Source organism: Homo sapiens, chromosome 19 (genome assembly GCF_000001405.40).
Source record: "Homo sapiens chromosome 19, GRCh38.p14 Primary Assembly".
Taxonomy (NCBI): domain Eukaryota; kingdom Metazoa; phylum Chordata; class Mammalia; order Primates; family Hominidae; genus Homo; species Homo sapiens.
The window spans coordinates 3,447,927-3,469,257 of NC_000019.10; the positions used below are offsets into that span (position 1 = coordinate 3,447,927).

Below are 21,331 nucleotides of genomic sequence, written 5' to 3' on the forward strand. Positions count from 1 at the left end.
ACAGTTTCATTCTTGTTGCCTGGGCTGGAGTGCAATGGCGTGATCTCGGCCCACTGCAACCTCTGCCGCCTGGGTTCAAGCGATTCTCCTGCCTCAGCCTCCCAAGTAGCTGGGATTACAGGCGTGAGCCCCTGCACCCGACTATCCATCTGTTTTTTGTGTTTGTGATGGAGTCTTGCTCTGTAGCCCTGGCTGGAGTGTAGTGGCGTGATCTCAGCTCACTGCAACCTCTGCCTCCTGGGTTCAAGCGATTCTCCTGCCTCAGCCTCCCAAGTAGCTGGGATTACAGGCACCCGCCACCACACCCACCTAATTTTTGTATTTTTAGTGGAGACAGGGTTTCACCATGTTGGCCAGGCTGGTCTTGAACTCCTGGCCTCAAGTGATCTGCCCACCTCAGCCTCCCAAAGCACTGGGATTACAGGCATGAGCCACTGTGCCTGGCCTCTGTTTCTTCATTCATTGATTCACTGAGGAAGGTGTGAGGGGCTGAGCTGCTGAGTTGGGGGCTGTGGGGGCTTTTGTCCCAGGCAGCCTGGGAGGTAGTGAGGCCCCTGTCTGCAGAGTGATGCCAGCAAGTCACTGCAGAGGGGGGATGCACCTCATTTCAGCCCCAGGGAGGCTCCGTTCCTTCCTCCCGCGTGGACGAGGGAAGGCAGAGCTGAGCTGGGGCTTGTCTGTGCGCCCTTAGCCAGTCAGGGTCTAACTGGACTTCGGATCTGACTGTCTCTGCCCTCCCTGCCACCTTCTCTAGGGCTCGGGTGACTCCCAGGTGATGGGGCAGCCCTGAGCCTTCCCATTTCTCTGGAAGGAGAGTAGGCAAGGGCCAGGAGCGAGGCCCAGGGGCACGTGTTGATACCCAGCTCTCCATCCCCCGGCTGTGCCGCCCTGGCTAGCCCCTTCTCTGCTCTGAGCCTTCGTTTACTCCTCTGTGTAATGGGCTCACAGCCTCTCCCCCTCAGGATTCTGGGGTAAGAGGAGGCGGGGTGATGAGGCTTCCTATCCCTTCGGAGGCTGGCTTTGGGGAAGGTCCAGGGCTCATGGGGTGTGACCAGCCTGTGACTCTCTCGTCCCATCCCCTCCACAGGCATCTCGTCCCCGGTGAAGAAGACAGAGATGGACAAGTCACCATTCAACAGCCCGTCCCCCCAGGACTCTCCCCGCCTCTCCAGCTTCACCCAGCACCACCGGCCCGTCATCGCCGTGCACAGCGGTAAGCGCCACGGGCCCCTGGCGGGGAGGGGCGGCGGGCCCTCCTATCAGGCCTCTCACAGCCGGGGAAGTCCCACTGGATGTCTGACCATGAGTCCTATTGCTGTAGCCTTCTAGGTGGGCAAAAAACCATAGAGGTGCCGTAGTGGAGAGCGCCCAGGGCCTTGTTCCAGCCCGGCTGAGAGGTTGGACTCAGTCCCTTTGGGCCTCAGTTTCCCCCCTGTATAACAAAAGGCTGCAACCTAACTTCACCTCACTCCCCTCACCCCCGTCTCAATCTAATCCCCCCATTCCAACCCCAGACACTGATGGACAGGCAGGATCAGAAGCTGCCAATGAGGCCAGGCACAGTGGCTCACACCTGTAATCCCGGCACTTTGGGAGGCTGAGGCGGGTGGATCATCTGAGGTCAGGAGTTTGAGACCAGCCTGGCCAACATGGTGAAACCCCATCTCTACTAAAAATACAAAAATTAGCCAGGCGTGGTGGCACGCACCTGTAGTCCCAGCTACTGGGGAGGCTGAGGCAGGAGAATTGCTTGAACCCGGGAGGTAGAAGTTGCAGTGAGCAGAGATCACACCACTGCACTCCAGCCTGGGCAACAGAGTAAGATTCCATCTCAAAAAAAAAAAAAAAAGCTAGGCTTGGTGGCTCATGCCTGTAATTCTAGCACTTTGAGAGGCCGAGGCAGGCAGATCACAAGGTCAGGAGTTCAAGACCAGCCTGGCCAACATGGTGAAACCCCTTGTCTACTAAAAATACAAAAATTAGCCGAGTGTGGTGGTATGCGCCTGTAGTCCCAGCTACTTGGGAGGCTGAGGCAGGAGAATCGCTTGAACCCAGGAGGCAGAGGTTGCGGTGAGGCGAGTTCACGCCATTGCACTCCAACCTGGGCGACAGAGCAAGACCCTGTCTCCAAAAAAAGGCTAAGTGCAAGTGGCTCACGCCTGTAATCCCAGCACTTTGGGATTTCAAGGCGGGCGGATTACGAGGTCAGGAGATTGAGACCATCCTGGCTAACATGGTGAAACCCCGTCTCTACTAAAAATACAAAAAATTATCCGGGCGTGGTGGCAGGCGCCTGTAGTCCCAGCTACTTGGGAGGCTGAGGCAGGAGAATGGCGTGAACCCGGGAGGCGGAGCTTGCAGTGAGCCAAGATCGTGCCAGTGCACTCCAGCCTGGGTGACAGAGCGAGACTCCATCTCAAAAAAAAAAAAAGAGACATCTCCATCTCGGCCAGGCACAGTGGTTCACACCTGTAATCCCAGCACTTTGGGAGGCCGAGGCAGGCGGATCACCTGAGGTCAGGAGTTCAAGACCAGCCTGGACAACATGGTGAAATCTCGTTTCTACTAAAATACAAAAATTAGCTCGGTGTGGTGATGCATGCCTGTGATCCCAGCTACTCAGGAGGCTGAGGCACAAGAATTTCTTGAACCCGGGAGGCGGAGGCTGCAGTGAGCCAAGATTGTGCCATTGCACTCCAGCCTGGGCAACAGAGCAAGACTCCATCTCAAAAAAAAACAAAACAGAACAAACAAAAAATCACCTTCCATGGTTGCCATTGGGATTAAGGGGGGTGAATTGTAGGAAGCCTCAAATATTGCTTACCACCCCATGTTCTAGTGATCAACTATTTAGTTCTTTACACAGTCATGCACACAGAGAGGCAGTCCCAAATCAAAGCAGCCATTTGGGCCAGGGGTCAGCAAACGCTGGCCCCCTGGTTGCCTGTTCTTACGAATAAAGTTTTATTGGCAAACAGCCACGACCACGTCTTTGTATATGTCCTGTGGCAGCTCTCACCCTGTCTTGGCAGGGCTGAGTAATTACAGCAGAGACCACGTGGCCAAAAGCCAAAAATATTTACTATCTGGCCAGAGGCTGTGGAGATGAGGGAGTGACTGCTATAAATAGTGAAAATACTAAAAATCACTGAACTGTTTAGAAAGAGGAAAAGGCAGGCACCACAATAGAATATGACTCAGCCATGAAAACGCACGAGGCTCTGACGCAGGCCACCTTGAGGACGTCATGCTCAGTAAGAGAAGCCAGACAAAAAGGCCACACAGCATGTGATCTCATTTCTATGAAATGTCCAGGACAGGGCCAGCCACAGAGGCAGGAAGGGGATGTATGGGTGCTGGGGCTGGGGGAGGAGGTGAGGAGTGACGGCTGATGGAGACGGAATTTCTTTATGTGCTGGAATTAGGCCGGGCACAGTGGCTCATGCCTGCAATCCCAGCACTTTGGGAGGCTGAGGTGGGTGGATTGCTTGAGTCCAGGAGTTTGAGACCAGCTTGGGCAACATGATGAAACCCCATCTCTACTAAAAATACAAAAAATTAACCAGGCGTGGTGGCACACGCCGGCAGTCCGTGCTACTCAGGCCGAGGCAGGAGGATCACCTGAGGTCAGGAGGTCAAGGCTGTAGTGAGCCATGATCATGCCCCTGCACTCCAGCCTGGGTGACAAAGCGAGATTCTATCTCTTAAAAAAAAAAAAAAAAGATCACTATTCAGCCATTTGCAGAAAGAGCTTGCCAACCCTAGATTTATAGTGTAGACTGTGGGGCCAGATGGGCTGGGTTCAAATTCCCGGTCTGCCATCTGATGCCGTGTGGCCCCAGGCAGGTGACACATCCCCTGAAGGCCACCCTGTCATCCTCTGTTTAAAAAAAAAAAAAAAAAGACGGGGCCAGGTGCAGTGGCTCACGCCTGCAATCCCAGCTCTTTGGGAGGCCAAAGTGGGCGGATCACCTGAGGTCAGGAGTTCAAGACCAGCCTGGCCAACATGGCGAAACCCCATCTCTACTAAAAATACAAAAGTTAGCCAGGCATGGCGGCGTGCACTTGTAATCCCAGCTACTCGGGAGGCTGAGGCAGAATTGCTTGAACCCAGGAGGTGGAGGTTGCAGTGAGCTGAGGTCATACCACTGCACTCCAGCCTGGGTGACTGTCTCAAAAAAAAAAAAAAAAAAAAAAGACCAGGCTCAGTGGGTTACACCTGTAATCCCCGCACTTTGGGAGGCCTAGGAGGGAGGATCGCTTGAGCCCAGGAGTTCGAGACCTGCCTGGGCAACATAGCAAGACCCCCACCTCTACAAAACTAAAAAATTAAATTAAAACACAAGGATAATATCACAGCCCCAGTGGGGTTGCCGTGGGAGTCGGGGAATTTGGGTGTCAATGTGGTCAGTGCTGCTGGGTTTTTTTGGTGGTTATTGTTACTAAACGCACTGAGATGCCGGCAGGAATGACACCCACAGACACACAGTCACACGGTCACAGAGCAGACCGGCTGGAGCCCCCAAGTAACCCCCGCTTCCCACTGTCTCCGCAGGGATCGCCCGGAGCCCACACCCGTCCTCCGCTCTGCATTTCCCTACGACGTCCATCCTACCCCAGACGGCCTCCACCTACTTCCCCCACACGGCCATCCGCTACCCACCTCATCTCAACCCCCAGGACCCGCTCAAAGATCTTGTCTCGCTGGCCTGCGACCCAGCCAGCCAGCAACCTGGACCGGTGAGTTGGGCGGGGCGCATTCGGGCCTCTCCTGGCGGCTCCAGGTGACCTCCCGGGGGCCACGTGCTCACACGAAGGCACAACCTCTGCTTAAAAGGGTCTTGAGGACTTGGCTCTGAAGTCCCCTCCTCTGTCGTGCTGGGAGGCAGCTGGATTGGGTCAGAATTGAGATGCTTTCGGATGTCAGGGTTTCGGGCGCATCATGTCGCACCCTGTGGGGTCTGGGTAGCACCCGTAGGTCCCAGCAACTGCGTGAGTCGTACTCATGTTAACACAAGGCAGGGAGGGACTGGGCATAGCGGCTCATGCCTGTGATCCCAGCGCTTTCGGAGGCCAAGGCGGGAGGATTGCATAAGCCCAGAGTTCAAGACCAACCTGGGCAGCATAGCGTGACCCAGTTTCTACAAAAAAAATACTTAAAAATGAGCCACGCATGGTGGCGGGCGCCTGTAGTCCCAGCTACTCAGGAGGCTGAGGTGGGAGGATCGCTTGAACCTGGGAGGTCGAGGCTGCTGTGAGCTGTGATTGTGCCACTGCACCCCAGCCTGGGTGACAGAACGAGACCCTGTCTCAAAAAGAAAAAAAAGGTTGGGGGGCGGGGGGCAGGAAGACATTGATTACAAAAAAACCACCAAACTCAGTTCGAGCAAGACAGCGTTTGCCAGACTCCACAGGAAGCTTTGGATGTTCAGAGCTTTTCGGACTTTGGAACCACGGGCCAGGCCGTGGATGATGGTGGATGATGGCGTGCTCGCAGTGAATTAGGAAAAACGCGGAGAACCTGCTGTTAGGAGGCGGTGGCACTGTTTGGAAGGAAATCAGTCGAGTTGGCGTGCAGGGGGTTTACAGAGGAGATGCAGTGAGCGTGGCCCCAGTAGTGCCGGGCTTTGAGTGACACCAGCAAGCGGGTGTCCCCAGGCCCCTCCACCTCCGGCCGTCCTCAGACCCACCAAACCCGCCATGGTCACACCCGCGCCCTGGCCCCCCAGCCTGCCACCCCGTCCGGGCCGTGCACAGAGCCGGGGGCGGCCGGCGCCAGCAGCCCGAGGTAGAGGGGGAGCCCACCCCTTAACCACGTGTCTCTCTGTTCCCCCAGTTAAATGGAAGTGGTCAGCTCAAAATGCCCAGCCACTGCCTTTCTGCTCAGATGCTGGCACCTCCGCCCCCGGGGCTGCCACGGCTGGCGCTCCCCCCTGCCACCAAACCCGCCACCACCTCCGAGGGAGGAGCCACGTCGCCGACCTCGCCTTGTAAGCACGCGGGAAGCGGTGCCCTGGTGGGGCGGATGTCCGCAGGGGGGCCTGTCCCCTCCCCAGCCCCACTGCCAGGTCAGAGGTCAGGCCCGACCCTGCAGGGCCTGGCGAGTTTGGTGGGTCTCCGGAAAACAGCCCAGTGGCCACGTGGTTGGGCCCATGTAGGGCTGAGGCAGCCTTAGGGGCTGGCCGGACCAAGCCTCGGGCCAGGGTGAGAGTCCAGGGTCTGTCCCCTTCGCCGAGTCACCTGGGGGACCCCGGTGCCCGCCGTGGGCCGTCAGAAACCCTCCCTGGTATGTCAGGCAGCTGACAGTGGACACGGATCTCACAGTGGCGGCCCGAGGGCCAGACTCGACCCCCAGACTGGTCTTTTGTTTGTGGAGAAAGAGAATCGGTTGTTATCATTTTAAAATCAGGACGTTTTACATAAACATTTCCAGAGTTCTGGCTTCTTGGGGAGAAAGGAGCTACACCAGGCCCAGTTCCTTTGGGTGACCTGGGCTGGACCACACCTTTAGATGGGACTCTCTTCGCCTGTCCACCTGACCTGGAAGCCCCTGGGTTGGCGGCTGCTGCACCTTCTAGATTTTTCTGCTCTCTGGATGTGGTTCTGGGTGGCTGCTGGATGGCCCCTCGGTCCTGGCATCCCTGTCCTGAGGTCCACCCCATTCGTCCGCAGTGGCTCTACCCCCAGACTCTCCCCACGACCCCCATGCAGGCTTGGGTGGGTCACCCACCCTCACAGGGCGCCAGACATCTCTGAACCCAGAGACCTCTCCCCATGGACTCCATCTGCCCCTCACCCCCCTTTTTGAGCATCTCTGTCCCTCACTCTCCAAATGAGACCCCCCACCCCACCCAAGCAGTTGGTGGCCACGGTTCCTTCTAGGTGCCCTCAGCTCCTCTTCTCCCTGCCCCGGCGTTCCTGTCCCCGTCCCCACTGCGTGCCAGAACCCAGGCTGCCTGCCCATAAAAACCGGCTTCTGATCACTGGCTGGAGGAGATCAGCCCCAAATCCACCCTGGGCTGGAATCCCACCTCTGCAGCTCTCTCACTGTGTGACCTCAGGCAGGTGTCTTCCCCTCTCTGAGCCTCAGTTTTCTCAGCTGCAAAGTGGGTTTGCCTTGGTGCCCAATTCACAGGGCAGTGGGGGACAAGCCGGTGACATGGGTCAGGGAGGCAGAGAGGACATTCCATGTGGCGCCTGATGCTGCGTGGTGTCAGGCAGCTGTGGTCATTCTTGCCGGCTGTCCCTGCCTGCTCATCTGTGAAATGGGAGCGTTGACTGCATAGGATCCAGTCAGGGCTCAGTGGGATCATGCCCAGAGCCTGGTATTCAGTAGACACTTAATAAATGCAGGATACTGCGTGGGATCCACTCAGGGCTCGATGGGATTATGCCCAGAGCCTGGCATACAGTAGACACTTAATAGATGCAGGATACTGTGTAGGATCCACTCAGGGCTCGGTGGGATTATGCCCAGTGCCTGGCATACAGTAGACACTTAATAGATGCAGGATACTGCGTAGGATCCACTCAGGGCTCGGTGGGATTATGCCCAGAGCCTGGCATACAGTAGACACTTAATAGGTGCAGGATACTGTGTAGGATCCACTCAGGGCTCAGTGGGATTATGCCCAGAGCCTGGTATACAATAGACACTTAATAGATGCAGGATACTGCTTAGGATCCACTCAGGGCTCGATGAGATTATGCCCAGAGCCTGGTTTACAGTAGACACTTAATAGATGCAGGATGCTGCTTAGGATCCACTCAGGGCTCGGTGGGATTATGCCCAGAGCCTGGTATACAGTAGACACTTAATAGATGCAGGATGCTGCTTAGTATCCACTCAGGGCTCAACGGGATTATGCCCAGTGCCTGGCATACAGTACACACTTAATAAATGCAGGATAGGCATGGATTCCACCCCCCTTTCCCTGCACCGGGGCTCTTAACTGCAAATCTACTCCTACTTCTCCCCATAAGCCTCGCTGCCTCCAGCTCCCCCCAACCCCAGCCAGGACAACTTGGGGACCCTGCCTGTTGCAGCTTCTTCTCCCCCTACCTGGGTCCCGGCCTGTCTGAGGCCCCCATCCCTGCTGTAGCCCCAGGCCGTGAGTTACTCACACGCCGACAAAATATAATCGCTGAGGCTGAAATATAAATACGCACATCTGTATGTATGCACACACCCAGCCCTCCCTCTGCCCTCTCCGGGAGGAAGATTAATAAATAAAACGCCCTCAATAATTCATGCACCCCGCGCGGAGGCAGCCCTCAGTGGCAGGACCGGGCGGGCGCTGCCCACCCTGAATAATTCACGGGCGGTTTTGTGAATTACAGAGCCATCCTGCCTTCCCTCTCAGCAGACACCCCGCCCACCTGGGCGATCTCAGCCGTGACCCCCGGGCCCCTCGAGTCAGGATCCCCGCCTCCCAAGGACCTTGGGCCTTTCAGGGGGGCCCGGTTCAACTGGGGGTAGGGCGGCAGGCTCGGAGGCCCCAGGCACTGGGTGCAGAGGCCCGGCTGTGTGACGCCTGGCGGTGGCCACCCTCTCTGGGGCCAGGGCCGCCCCGGCTCCCACAACCCCTCGCTAACGGGCTCTCGGTCTCTCTCCTCCCTGCAGCCTACTCTCCGCCCGACACGTCCCCTGCAAACCGTTCCTTTGTGGGATTAGGACCAAGGGATCCTGCGGGCATTTATCAGGCACAGGTAGGGGCCGAGAGGCCGGCTGGTGGGGTGGGAGGGGCAGGGCAGAGGGGCCGGCCCGGGGGGCTCAGGGCGAAGAGGGCCTGCTGGGTCCCACGCCACACCCCTGGCACAGGGGCGCCAGCCTCCCACACCCCACCTGGGCCTCGAGCCCCCACCTGGCCTCTCCCTGAGGCCAAATTTCCCTCCACCTTGGTCCTGGGGGGATGGGGTGTGGCCCCAGACTCAGCCTGTGGGGTCCCCAGGAGCGTCTCTGGAGACCATCGTGGTACAGCTATGGGACCAGTGTCATTACCACCTGCTTCCCATGGTATAGATGGGAAAACTGAGGCCCAGAGAGACAAGGGGGTCTGCCCAGGGTCACACAGTGCATCACCCTCCCTCCTCCAGCCTCCATCCCCCATCCACGCCGAGGCCTAGAGGGACCGCGGGGTGGCCGGGGGAAACTGAGGCAGCCCATGGCGGGGCGTGGGGCCTCCCAGGACAGCATCCAAGCCCCCACCCCAGGCTTCAGCCCACATCTAAGCCAGTGTGAGGAGTCAGGGCGGAGAGGCTTCGTCAGCAGGACAGACAGGATGGGGCAGGGGCCAGCGTTCATGTTCACGTTGATGTTCATAGTCACGTACATGTTCAGACGGCTGCAGCTGAGTGAGCATGGCCGGGGTCCCACCACCCCTAGAAGGCAGGCAGGCAGGCAGGAGGTTGACAGAGGAGGCTCAGAGAGGGGAAGTCAATTGCCTGAGGCTGCACAGTAGTCTAGGGAGTGGGGGCGTGGGAGGGCAGCCTTAGCCCCAGGCCCAGGTGTCCCTCACCCCCCACCCCCATAAGGGGCTCTGTGTAGGCCAGGAGTGTGTGAGCGCGTCTTCGGGTTATGGGTAAGCAGCTGGACCTTTGAGCCTCTGCTCTCTCCCCGGTTTGTGTTGGGGAGAGGGTTGGAGGATGTAGGAGTGGCTGCCACAGGCCCGGGAGGTCCAGACTCAGAGAGAAACGAGCTCTGGGCTACCCAGCGGCCACGGAACTGCAGAGCGTGGAGATGTATGGGGTCCCCAGGGGCCGTGTTCAAATCTTCCAGCCACTGAGGGAGGTTTCCTGCTGCAGAGCCCACGGGCAAGGGTCACGGGGCCTCCCCGGGACCCTGCGGGGCTGTCCTGGCTGAGCGGATGGGGGCGGGGAGGGGACATGGCATTCCCCCTCCCTCCCTGTGCTGGGTGCCCAGGATGCCTGTAAGCGGCCCCTCCCTCTCTTCCCAGGCTCCGCAAAACCAGCCGGAGGAGGAAGCAGGGATGGAGGCTGCTTCTCCTGAGTTCAGAGGAGATCCATGTGCTATGGGTGGAGGGAATCCTGGGTCAGGGGCCAGGGCTCCAGCCCAGTGCTGGCTCACCCACTCTGAACCTCTGTCTCTTCCTCTGGCCTTGGGCACCCGCACCAAGAGCCTTTGAAGGGCACTGGGGGACAGAAAGGGCACTGAAAGGTTCAGGCTTCCCCACACCCCGTAAATATTAAGTACCCTGCCTTGCACCCATAGAGCCCCGGAGAGGGAGTAACTTGGTCAGGGTCCCCCAGCGAGCAGACGTCCAGGACTCCTCGCTTTGGGATTTGGGCCCCCTATGGCCAACCTCTCCCCCGCCTGGTGCTGATGGAGCCCGGCATTACCTCTGCCACCCCCACCCCACATCGCTCCCTGCCCCTGCGGGAGGCTGGGAACGTCTTAAGTGGTTCAGAAACCAAAGCTAATAAAAGCTGCGGTGGGAGGAGGCCCAGCCCGCTTAACCCTTCCCCAGCCTCTGCCTTGGACCAAACTCTCTGACCAGGCCCTCCCGCCAGGGCCCGGGACCCTTCTCTCAGACTGTGCTGGCTCCAGCCCCACCCCACCCAAGCCTGGGAGGGAAGGGAAACTGAGGCAGGCAAGGGTGGCACCTTTCTCAGCATCCCTATCTTGACTGGCTGGACTCCTCTGGGGACCCAGAAAGGGTGGGACCAGGGCTGGCAGAATGGGGTGTGGGGGGGCACTGGCAAGGGGCTCAGCATAGGCAATGGTGTGGGTCGGGGGAGGGGGAGCTGGCTGGAATGTGAGAGATCTCCGGTGGCAGGGGCCAGACAGATGATGCGGGCTTTGCTCTGGGGTAGTGGGGAGCCATAGAAGGGTTTAGAGGGAGGGAGTGGACACCCACCAGGCCTGGGAGTCAGAACTTTCTGGAGCACAGAAAGGAGGTGACACATTGTCAAGAGGCTCTCAGGGGAGCATGGGTTAGGGGGAAGGCGAGGTCCCCAAACTGGGCATCCAGGGAGCACAGGTCTGGGGAGGACCCCATTGCTGCTGCCCTGACTGGACTAAGAGCACCTGGGTTGAGGCCGGGCGCCGCCACCTCCCTGCAGACCCCGGAGAGAGGGAGGGAAGAAGCAGTGAGATCCCGCTCTCCCCTCTCCCAGCTCCCGCTCAAAGGGCCCTGAGCTTGGAGGCCTCTCATTTCCGATTCTGGCCAGTCAGCACTTCTGCCTCCGCCTCCTCTATTCCTGGCGGATTCGCTTCCCTCTGCCCCCTCCTCCCCCAAAGCCTGGGTGGGCGCGCCTTTCCCTCTGCCTCTCCGGCTCCCGACACCCCCCAGTCCATGGACTCTCCCCCCATCAATATCCCTCCCCGTGATCTATGCTAATTGATCTCGCCCTGGTCAGTTACCCACCCATCGCCCCATGTCCGTCCCTATCAATCCCCCCACTGTGAGGCTGGGTGGCTCTGACGCCCTGGCCCCTCCCCTCTGTGATGTCCTTCACGCCCCTACATTTCTCCTGCACGGGAACCCACGTAAGCAGCTGGGTAAACCGAGGGTGGGGGGCAAGGCGGGCATTGAGCCACATGCCGGGAGCCACACAGGCGGCTGCAGCCAGGCCAGCAGGATACCAGAGCCCAAACCTCCCCCTTCACACCTACTGCCTCAGTCTCCCCTCAGCTGAGTGGGAGGATGTGGAGTTGAGGGTGCCCCCACCCCACCCCCGCCCCATTGCTGGGGCCACAGCCAGGCAGGAAGGGGAGGGGAGGGAAGGGAGGAGGGAGGAAGGGCTGAGGGGAGGCTGGTCCACCACGGGGAGGGTCACGCCCAGAGTCTGTCGGTTGCCAACAGAAACCAGACATGAGGTAATGGCCAAGATGAACTTGAACTTGGCTGGAGGTGGGGCGCTGGGAACCACTGTGGCGCCAGTTCCATGGGCTGGCCCAGTGGCTGCCTGGTTGGAGGGGCTCTGTTGAATGATTTGCTGCAGCGGTGGGGGGCGGCCCCACCTCTAACCTCAGTTGGGGAGTGGAGGGGTCTCCCCAGTTCCAGAGGCACAGCCCTCCCCTCACAGTCCACCCTGGATGCTCCATCTGGGGTTGGAGTTTGCGTTTCCAGGGCAGGGGTCTGGACAGCAGCTTCTCTGCAGAGACTGAGGCCGGAGCTGTCCCCAAATGACGTGACCTTGGGTACAGCCCCATGCAGAACTCCCCTCCCTTAGCCTCGGTCTCCCGCCTCTGGGAGGTTGAGAGTCATCCTCAGCCCCCCTGTGCTTAGTGAGCTTCTGTGGAGCAAGAGGGGGCCATCCGGGGGACCTGTGACAGGATGGGCCCTGGACGCCCAGGACAGTGCTCAGAAGATGCCAAGGGGATTCCTGAGAGGCAGGCGAGGGGGTTGGCCCTGGGCAGGAGCAGAAATGAGAGCCAGAGCCAGACAGGCCTGAGTTCAAGTTCCACCTCTGCCGCTTCCATGCTGGTGACCTCGGGCAAGTTCCTTGACTTCTCTGGGCCTCACTTTCTTCACACAAAACAGCGGTGGAGGGAGACCTACCCCCTCCTTCACGGGGATACCGGGGACATCATTAAAGAGGAGAATTTTTTTTTGTTTTTTTTTGGTTTTTTTGGTTTTTGTTTTGAGACGGAGTCTTATGCTGCCCAGGCTGGAGTGCAATGGCACGATCTTGGCTGACTACAACCTCCGCCCCCTGGATTCAGACGATTCTGCTGCCTCAGCCTCCCGAGTAGCTGGGATTACAGGCACGTGCCACCACGCCTGGCTAATTTTTGTATTTTTAGTAGAGACAGGGTTTCACCATGTTGGCCAGGCTGGTCTCGAACCCCTGACCTCAGGTGATCCACCCACCTTGGTCTCCCAAAGTACTGGGATTACAGGCATGAGCCACCGAGCCCAGCCTCTTGTTTACTTTTTAAAAACATTCTCAAGGCCATGTGCAGTGGCTCATGCCTATAATCCCAGCACTTTGGGAGGCCAAAGCAAACGAATAAGCTGAGGTCAGGAGTTTGAGACCAGCCTGGCCAACATGGAGAAACCCCGTTTCTACCAAAAATACAAAAATTAGCTGGGTGTGATGGCGCATGCGTGTAATCCTAGCTACTCGGGAGGCTGAGGCAAGAAAATCACTTGAACCCGGGAGGCAGAGGTTGCAGTGAGCCAAGATCGTGCCACTGCACTCCAGCCTGGTGACAAGAGCGTGACGCTGTCTCAAAAAATCAACAAAAAACCTCTTTATAAAGTGAACAAGGCAGCTGATGTGGTGGCTCATGTCTGTAATCCTAGCACTTTGGGAGGAAGGAGTTCAAGGCCAGCCTGGTCTACATGGCGAAACCCCACCTCTACAAAAAAAAAAAAAAAACTAGTCAGATGTGGTGGAACATACCTGTGGTCCCAGCTACTCGGGAGGCTGAGGTGGGAGGATCACTTGAGCCCAGGAGATGGAGGCTGCAGTGAGCTATGATGGCACCACTGCACTCCAGCCTGGGCAACGGAGCAAGACCCTGTCTCAAAATAAAATAATAAATTGGCTGGCCACAGTGGCTCACGCCTGTAATCCCAGCACTTTGGGAGGCCAAGGTGGGCGGATCACTTGAGGCCAGGAATTCAAGACCAGCCCGGCCAACATGGCGAAACCCGGTCTCTACTAAGAATACAAAAATTAGCTGGGTGTGGTGGGGCGGGCCTGTAATCCCAGCTACTTGGGAGGCTAAGGCACAAGGATCACTTGAACCCAGGAAGCGGAGGTTGTAGAGAGCCAAGATCACACCACTGCATTCCAGCCTGGGCAACAGAGCAAGACTCTGTCTCATAAATAAATAATAAATAGAGAAGAAAATAATTTTTAAAATATAAAATAAAGGCCAGGCAGAGTGGCTCACGCCTGTAATCCCAGCACTTTGGGAGGCCGAGGCGGGCGGATCACGAGGTCAAGAGAGTGAGACCATCCTGGCCAACATGGTGAAACCCTGTCTCTACTAAAAATATAAAAATTAGCTGAGTGTGGTGGCATGCGCCTGTAATCCCAGCTACTCGGGAGGCTGAGGCAGGAGAATCACTTGAACCTGGGAGGCAGAGGTTGCAATGAGCCGAGATCATGCCACTGCACTCCAGCCTGGCAACAGAGCGAGACTCTGTCTCAATAAATAAATAAATAATATAATATAATAAAGTAAGATTGAGTTCCAGACTGGGAGTGCTGGCTCACACCTGTAATTCCAGCACTTTGGGAGGCCGAGGAAGGTGGATCACTTGAGGTCAGGCGTTTGAGACCAGCCTGGCCAACATGGTGAAACCCCATCTCTACTAAAAATACAAAAATTATCCAGGTGTGGCGGTGGACGCCTGTAATCCCAGCTACTCGGGAGGCTGAGGTAGGAGAATTGCTTGAACCCAGGAGGCAGAGGTTGTAGTGAGCCAATATCACGCCATTGCACTCCAGCCTGGGCAACAAGAGCGAAACTCCATCTCAAAAAATAAAATAATAAATAAAATATAAAATACAGTTCCAGATAAATGGATCTTTTGTGTGTGGTGTGTAAGTATATCCCCAATGTTGCGTGGGCTAGACTTATACTAAAAGAATTCTGTGTTAACCAGAACTCCAGTTTCACTGGGCATCCTGTACTGTGTCTGGAAGCCTCCCTCAGAGACAAAGTCACTTGCCATGGGTCACCCAGCAGGTTGTTAGAGCCTGGGATGGGGAAACTGAGGTCACAGGGTTGCAGGAGGTGGGGGGTGAGCGTGGGAAGAGGTAAACCATGTCTGCAGCAGAGTCTGACCCCTCGACTTCTCTCCCTTTTTCTCTCTCCCTCTTTCTGTCGCCACTGGGCCACTCAGTCCTGGTATCTGGGATAGCAAAGGTCTTCTTCCCTCGCCCCTTCTCCATCGTCCCAGGAATCCCAGGGGGCAGCACAGCCGGCCCCCGGCCCACGTTTTCGGTGGAAAATTAGAGTGAACAAGAACACCCCTGCCGACTCCCAGCCCGGCCAAAAAGACAAAACACATAGACGCACACACTCAGGAGGAAAAGAAAAAACAAAGGCAGAAGAAGAAGAAGAAGAAATAAAAACCCACCCAAGCAAGAAGACAAAAGGTAAAGACGCAACGTTTCCAACTCTCGGGACGCCAAGGCCGCAGGACTGGAGGGCCAGGCCCCGCCACCCCCACGGGAGACCCGGGACAGGGCGTCTTCCTAAGTTATTCATCTCCTCTCCGCCTGCTGCTCGGGAAGGACAGACGCCGGCCGCCCGCCCGCGCCCCGGAGGCCCTGGCTCTGTCCGGAGACCAGGTGAGCACAGCCTGGAGCCTGTGCCCAGGGCCGACAGGCGCGACACCCAGCAAGGCCACCTCTCCCCGGGCCCCCGCGCCTCTGCCGGACACGGACCGGCCCCTCAGCCCCCACCGAGGACGCAGCCACTGGGGGGAAAGGGAGACACAGCGGACCCCGGCCGGGCAGCGGAGACCGCAGAGGCGGGCAGGGTGGGGCAGGCGAGTGGTGTCGCGGGGGTGCGTGGCGCTTGCGAGCCCTGGCCAGGGGAGGAAGTGAGGCCCAGGCACCTGCTGCCCCTCGAGGGGGCCCTGCCTGCCGCGGGGCCTCCCCACAAGCCCCTCCCAAAGCGCCGGCCGACTCGCTGTCTCGCTGGGGACTCTTTCAGCCCTCGCGCCCGCCCGTTTGGGAGGAGAAGTCTCTATGCAATTGGCCCCGGCCCCTCCACCCCCCACCCCCGGCATAGGAGGCCCCCCCACCTCGCCCGGCTCACACCCCCAAAGGGAGGGACCCACATTGCACACACTGTAAGAAATGCACTTTCCGAGGAAGGGGATGGGGGAGCCCGGACACCCAGAGCTCCCCGAGTTGGGGGTGCCCGTCTGGAGCGCCCCCGTCAGCCCCTGGCGGTGGGAGGTGAGAGCGAGTGGTTTAAGTGCCTGATTACCACCACCCGCCCCCCCCTTTGTCCAGCTGGGACACGGAATGGCCGCGGGCCTCCTCCCCCTCCCCTCCAGCCTCTCCACCAGCCCCTCCAGTCAACCCTCATCGCCGTGCCCCCCCAGAGCTAGAGAGATGGGGCCCCTGCGTGGCCCGAGGGGCAGAGCTGGGCGTCACTTCGCAAGCGTCCTGCCCTGCCGGGGCGCGGGGGTGGGCTCTGGGGAAGCCGGTGCGCCCCCCACGCCTCCGCTGCCAGTGCCTTACATTCTGGAGCGACCCCCCTCCCTGGTGCCTCCCAGCGAAGGGGGACCGCCGTTTGCACTTTCATCGCCTACCCCGACGCGGGGCCCAGCTGCGGGACGTGCATCACGGCTGGGCCCCCAGAGGAGAGAGGAGGCCGACGCCAGCGGTCCCCGCTCGGAACGGGGAGGGTTTTCGGGGGGTTCGGCGTCGCACCTTGGGGCCCCCCGCAGCCGTGTAGGGGGCCTCCCATCTGCTAAGCGTTTTTCCGTTGAGCCGCTCCAAAAACACTAAGCTGGGGACGCCAGGTGCCCCCCCACCCCGGCTCCCTGGCCCTATCCACACCTCCACCCCCACCCCAGGATCGCCATCTTTAGGGGAGGCCTGGGAGGGGGTGTTAGGTGTTTTAGGGCCACCGAGCTCAAACACAAGGACCCCTCCCCGGCCCACCCAGCCCAGCCCCAACTGACCTCCATGCCTAGGGAAAAACTCCCCCCACCACTGCCCCCTCCCCCGACCCAGGCCAAAGCCAGGGCAGGTCTCCGGGTCTCACCTGCTCCTAGCCTCACCCCCCTGCCCCCGAAAACCAGACTCTCCTCCCAAACTAGCCTCAGGAGCTTGGCGAACCCGCTCGCTCCTAAAGAGAAAGACCCAGGACCCTCCCCCATCACCCCCAAGAGAGGTTCGCCATCCTCTGGCCTCGAGCCCTTGGTCCCTCCGTCCGTCTGTCCTCGGGGCCCGCTCCCCCGGTGGCCCTTGGGGATCAAAGCGTGGGCCGCTCTCCGGGAGGGCGGGCGGGGGAGGGGGTGGTCGGGTTGTGCCATTGGGGTGTCCGGAAGCTTCTCAGCCAGGGTGGGGGTCGTGGAGTGGGGGAGGGAGGCCAGCCGGGCTCCAGAGGGGTCAGGGCGCGACGAGAACCAACTCTTTACCTAACTTTGCATGGTGCTTAGTCAAGGACTCCTGCGACCTGGCTCCCGAGGTCAGCTGGCGGCGCTGACACACATGCATGGCAGACTATCCCTGGCTCTATCTCCCTGTTCCTCGCCCCCTCCACCCCCCACTTCCTCTTTAAAAAAAAAAAAAAAAAAAAAAAGATACAAGAAAAACCTTTAAAAAAATTCCATGTTTCCTAATTTGCACGAAATTTTCTACCACAAGATGTGCCTTGCCTTCCGAGAATAAGTATTACCTTTAAACAATATCAGCGCACACACATAGCTGCATGTTCTGCTCGTGTAGTTTAAAAAAAAAAAGACAAAACAGTGACATGAAATAAAAAATAAAAATTGAAAAGGGATGTATTTCTATTTGTAAAAAAAATAAAATAAAAAATAAGAAAGTGAGAATCTAAAAAAAAAAAAAAAAAAAAAAAAGGAAGAAAAACCACGCTAAAAATCAAGCCACTGAAAACAATTGCCCCCAGGTCTACCCAGCCCCTGGCTGTCCTTGGTCCTGTCTCCCCTCCTGCTGTATTCAGGGGTGCCCCCTGGTGCTCAGCCTCTACCACCCCCAACCCTGCTCTTGGGTACCCAGAGGGGTCATTTCTGAATCCCTTGCCCAGAGGACAGACCTCCGGGGCCCATCTTGGCCCTGGGAAAGGGCTCTCCTCTCTGATTGGTCCCTAGGCCACGGGCCGGCCCCCAGACACCATTCACCGACCCACTGCAGGCTGTCCTCCAACCATGGGGTGGCCACTCCACCCGCAGCCAGACTCCCCGCTCCCCACTTTTCATGCAGGCTGGCATACCCCTGGCTCAGGGTCAAATGCTGTTCCACACCCACCTCAGAGGCACCCCCTCTCCCCTGCCCCGTGCATCCCCACCCTTCTTGCCAAAGGACCTCTTTTCCCCTATCCAGAGACCACCCCAGGTGGCATTCTCTCCCACCTTCTCCTTTGTCCCCCATCCCCTGTCTCTGTCTTCCAGCTGTGAATATGAAGGGTATCCTGTATGAAACAAAAACAAAACCTGATATATGCAATATCTGTCTGTCTGTCTGTACCCATGGGCCTGGCTCAGCCATTGGAGGCCCAGCCGAGGGTCCGGCAGGGCACAGGGACAGCCAGGTGGCACCGAGTCACAGGCTGTGGTCCGGTGGCTGAGCATGCTGTTGTCTTGTCCTTGATTTTATTTTCTTTTGTTCTTTTTTTTTTTCTTTTCTTTTTGTTTTTAACTCCAGCTTCCTTTGCTTTTTACTTGACCAAAGCTAAGACAATAGCCAGATGGTTAGTGGGGCAGCCAGGCAGGGAGGACCCAGGGCTGGGATTCTCCAACCTTAGGCCATTCCTGCAGCCCTCACCACCTCCAGCCCCTCCAAGCATCTCGTGTAGGGACCCACGCAGATGGTCCCATTCATTCACTATTGCCCCCAACCCCGGGATTTTGGGTGGTCTCCACAGCCACCATCATACACTCATCCCGTGTTTTCTTCCAAAAAGTCACCTCAGCAGCCTCCCCAGGCGATACAGAGGGAGAGCCCAGACCACCACAGCTGGCCACGACATTGCCCTTAAGTAATATGCATTGGCCAGAGAGCCCGGGCTGGCTGTGCACAGCATTCATGTAGCTGATTTCTAGCTTTTTTTTTTTTTCTGCCCCACTCCTGAGCAAATCTGTCTTGCCAAGGAACTAGGAGCAACCGGAGGCAAAGGGAGTGGGTGGCCCCATCACTATTGGGACCATCGCGTCCCTGCACAGCCCACACCCGGGGGCCCAGAGTCCTGGGCTGGACGCCACCCTTCTCACCCCGAGCTTGCCTCCTTGGCTCACTTGGCACCTTGGCTGAGTACAGCAGGCAAAAGCCCATACCAGGCAGCATGTTGTGGATGGTTTAGTTCTCCCCGCCTCCCTGTTTCTTGGAAAAGCTACAGGGTCCCTGTAGGGCAAAATTCCCAGGCGCCTTGCTGCAGACAGAGTAAGACAAAAACACCAGGAAGCAGGATTCCGTGCCCATCTCTGCAGTTTGGGTTCACAAAAGGGGGTGCCGTCATCCCTGGGTGGAGGAGGGAGTGTTGGTTTTTTGTTTTTGTTTTTTTAACATGTATGAAACTGACATCTTCTCAAATCTTGTTCCACCCCCCTCTGGAAGCCCCCATCACCCACCCCTGCTATGGACACCACACCTATGCCAGGCCCCCCCCCCCACCCCAGTCTCATTCTGGGGTCTGCCCATGCTGTGGGAAAGAATAGGGAGGCCTCCCAAATATATGCAAATTGTCCCCATTCCGTGGGGGCACCTGACAATGACCCGGGTGGAGATGGGGCATGGAGGAGTAGGAAGACCCAGCCCTATTTGACTGGGGAGAGGAGGATCTGGAGTCCTTCATGCCCAGGTCTGGAACCCAGGTTCTGACCCCAGGGCCCCACCCTGGGCTGGACAATCAGATCCCAAAGGAATGCCAAAGGGGACTCGGTTGGGAGAGCCGCTTAGGGGCCAGACCTGGGTCCCCCTGCAGGTCCCCAGGCAGCAGACAATTCCACCTTCCCTGCCCCAGGACCTTGAGAGACAGCAGCATTCCAGGCACAGACAGACTTGGCTGCACCCCACTGTCCCTTGCAAGACAGGTTCTGGAGCCAGGAGCAACTGTCCAGCCCTCCAGAAGAGACAGCAAGCAGCCCCCCTACCCACTCTGGCCTCCCCAATGGTACTTTGACCTCCAGTGTAGGGCTATACTATACATATATATATATATATATATATATATATATAATTTTGGAATTTGTTTCTCATAATACAGAATATATAGTGGCTACCTTGTATCTTGGTCTGGATTCTCTCTCTGAGACCCCGGATTTTACTTTCTCTTTGGAGGGCGCTGGGACATACATCTCTCAATCCAGCTTCCTCCGCATCCTCCCATCTTGCCCCATTTCTGCCACGTCAGACACTTCCTGAGAGTCTCACCTTCAAAATGACACCGCTGCCCATCCATTGCTCAATGGTACAGAGTGTGGGGTCAGTCCACCACCCTTGACCTCCCGGCAGGGCAAGGTGAGGAGGCGGACCCAAAGCAGTACCAGCAGGACTTGTTGCCAGTGATACCAAAACAGACTTTTCCCAAGCAGTGCCTCACATGTCTGCTGGTGTGGCTTTGGGATTCTCCTGCCCCACCCCCCCGTCCATGGCAGCCCCCTCCCCAAGGCTTTGCTCACACCTGAGACAGGAAGGAGGAAGGGGATCCAATAGGAATATGGGCCCCGGAGGGGAAGTCATGCACCCCCAAGCCACCACCCCCCAGCCTTCCACGCACATCTCCTGGCTGGAAGAGAGCCCTCCAAAAAGGGGACACAGGCTGCCCCGGCCCCTCAACTGCATCCACACCCCATCCTCTCATCTTGGGTCCCAGCCAGGCCCCCCCAAAACCAAAGCCCCCTCAAGTCCTGGGGTCCCAGCCTGTGCCCCCAGCTTCCTGCCCACCCAGCCCTGAGCATTCTCACACAGAGAAAGAACAAGCAAGGGCTCCAGGGGGACAGGATGGGGCAGGGCATACAGTGGGGGGTGGGGGGGCAGCTGGGAGGAGGGAGGGACAAAACAAAACATTTTCCTTTGGGTTTTTTTTTTCTTTCTTTTTTCTCCCCTTTACTCTTTGGGTGGTGTTGCTTTTCCTTTCCTTTTCCCTTTGAGATTTTTTTGTTGTTGTTTCCTTTTTGTATTTTACTGATATCACCAGGATAGTTTACTCTCCTTCTAGCTTTCTGCTTACCGCACACTGGATAACACACACATACACACCCACAAAAATGCTCATGAACCCAATCCGGAGAAGGTTCCAGCAGGTCCCCCACCCTCCCCTCCTCCTCCTACTTCTCCTCTTGACAGCGAGGACAGGAGGGGGACAAGGGGACACCTGGGCAGACCCGCCGGCTCTCCCCCCACCCCACCCCGCCCCTCACATCATACTCCAATCATAACCTTGTATATTACGCAGTCATTTTGGTTTTCGCGGACGCGCCTACCTAAGTACCATTTACAGAAAGTGACTCTGGCTGTCATTATTTTGTTTATTTGTTCCCTATGCAAAAAAAAAATGAAAATGAAAAAAGGGGGATTCCATAAAAGATTCAATAAAAGACAAACAAAAAAAAAAGAAAAAAGAAAAAAATGTATAAAAATTAAACAAGCTATGCTTCGACTCTTTCTGGCTGTCCCGGGTCCTCTTTTCCATGTCCCATGTGGG

At 57.6% G+C, this 21,331-nt stretch overlaps 1 protein-coding gene across 5 annotated transcripts in view, besides 7 other annotated features; it reads left to right on the forward strand.

Moving 5' to 3' along the window:
* NFIC (nuclear factor I C) overlaps window positions 1-21,291 on the forward strand; it is a 109,588-nt gene extending 88,297 nt beyond the window's left edge. For 2 of the 5 annotated variants that reach the window (NM_205843.3, NM_001245002.2), the window contains exons 7-11: window positions 1,088-1,213; window positions 4,556-4,740; window positions 5,837-5,990; window positions 8,624-8,709; window positions 14,826-21,291. In NM_205843.3, coding sequence (NP_995315.1) covers window positions 1,088-1,213; window positions 4,556-4,740; window positions 5,837-5,990; window positions 8,624-8,709; window positions 14,826-14,843 — 569 coding nt within the window. In that variant the 3' untranslated portion in view covers window positions 14,844-21,291. The remainder of the gene's footprint in view (window positions 1-1,087; window positions 1,214-4,555; window positions 4,741-5,836; window positions 5,991-8,623; window positions 8,710-14,825) is intronic. The other 3 variants (NM_001245005.2, NM_001245004.2, NM_005597.4) reach the window with 2 other exon arrangements.
* Window positions 9,603-9,652: a silencer, noted in NCBI's record as "silent region_9844". NCBI's record gives its function as "represses an Ori minimal core promoter by ATAC-STARR-seq in GM12878 lymphoblastoid cells {active_cell/tissue: GM12878}" and the evidence as "EXISTENCE:reporter gene assay evidence [ECO:0000049][PMID:35858748]".
* Window positions 14,613-15,148: an enhancer, noted in NCBI's record as "H3K27ac-H3K4me1 hESC enhancer chr19:3462537-3463072 (GRCh37/hg19 assembly coordinates)". NCBI's record gives its function as "activates a minimal SCP1, AML or CMV promoter by ChIP-STARR-seq in naive and primed H9 embryonic stem cells {active_cell/tissue: H9 hESC(naive and primed)}" and the evidence as "EXISTENCE:reporter gene assay evidence [ECO:0000049][PMID:30033119]".
* Window positions 15,149-15,684: an enhancer, noted in NCBI's record as "H3K27ac-H3K4me1 hESC enhancer chr19:3463073-3463608 (GRCh37/hg19 assembly coordinates)". NCBI's record gives its function as "activates a minimal SCP1, AML or CMV promoter by ChIP-STARR-seq in naive H9 embryonic stem cells {active_cell/tissue: H9 hESC(naive)}" and the evidence as "EXISTENCE:reporter gene assay evidence [ECO:0000049][PMID:30033119]".
* Window positions 16,136-16,336: a silencer, noted in NCBI's record as "peak3246 fragment used in MPRA reporter construct". NCBI's record gives its function as "represses an SCP1 promoter by STARR-seq MPRAs in K562 erythroleukemia cells {active_cell/tissue: K562}" and the evidence as "EXISTENCE:reporter gene assay evidence [ECO:0000049][PMID:32103011]".
* Window positions 17,266-17,766: an enhancer, noted in NCBI's record as "H3K4me1 hESC enhancer chr19:3465190-3465690 (GRCh37/hg19 assembly coordinates)". NCBI's record gives its function as "activates a minimal SCP1, AML or CMV promoter by ChIP-STARR-seq in primed H9 embryonic stem cells {active_cell/tissue: H9 hESC(primed)}" and the evidence as "EXISTENCE:reporter gene assay evidence [ECO:0000049][PMID:30033119]".
* Window positions 17,767-18,267: an enhancer, noted in NCBI's record as "H3K4me1 hESC enhancer chr19:3465691-3466191 (GRCh37/hg19 assembly coordinates)". NCBI's record gives its function as "activates a minimal SCP1, AML or CMV promoter by ChIP-STARR-seq in primed H9 embryonic stem cells {active_cell/tissue: H9 hESC(primed)}" and the evidence as "EXISTENCE:reporter gene assay evidence [ECO:0000049][PMID:30033119]".
* Window positions 19,845-20,139: a silencer, noted in NCBI's record as "tiled region #13615; K562 Repressive DNase matched - State 18:Pol2". NCBI's record gives its function as "represses a minimal TATA promoter and a strong SV40 promoter by Sharpr-MPRA in K562 cells {active_cell/tissue: K562}" and the evidence as "EXISTENCE:reporter gene assay evidence [ECO:0000049][PMID:27701403]".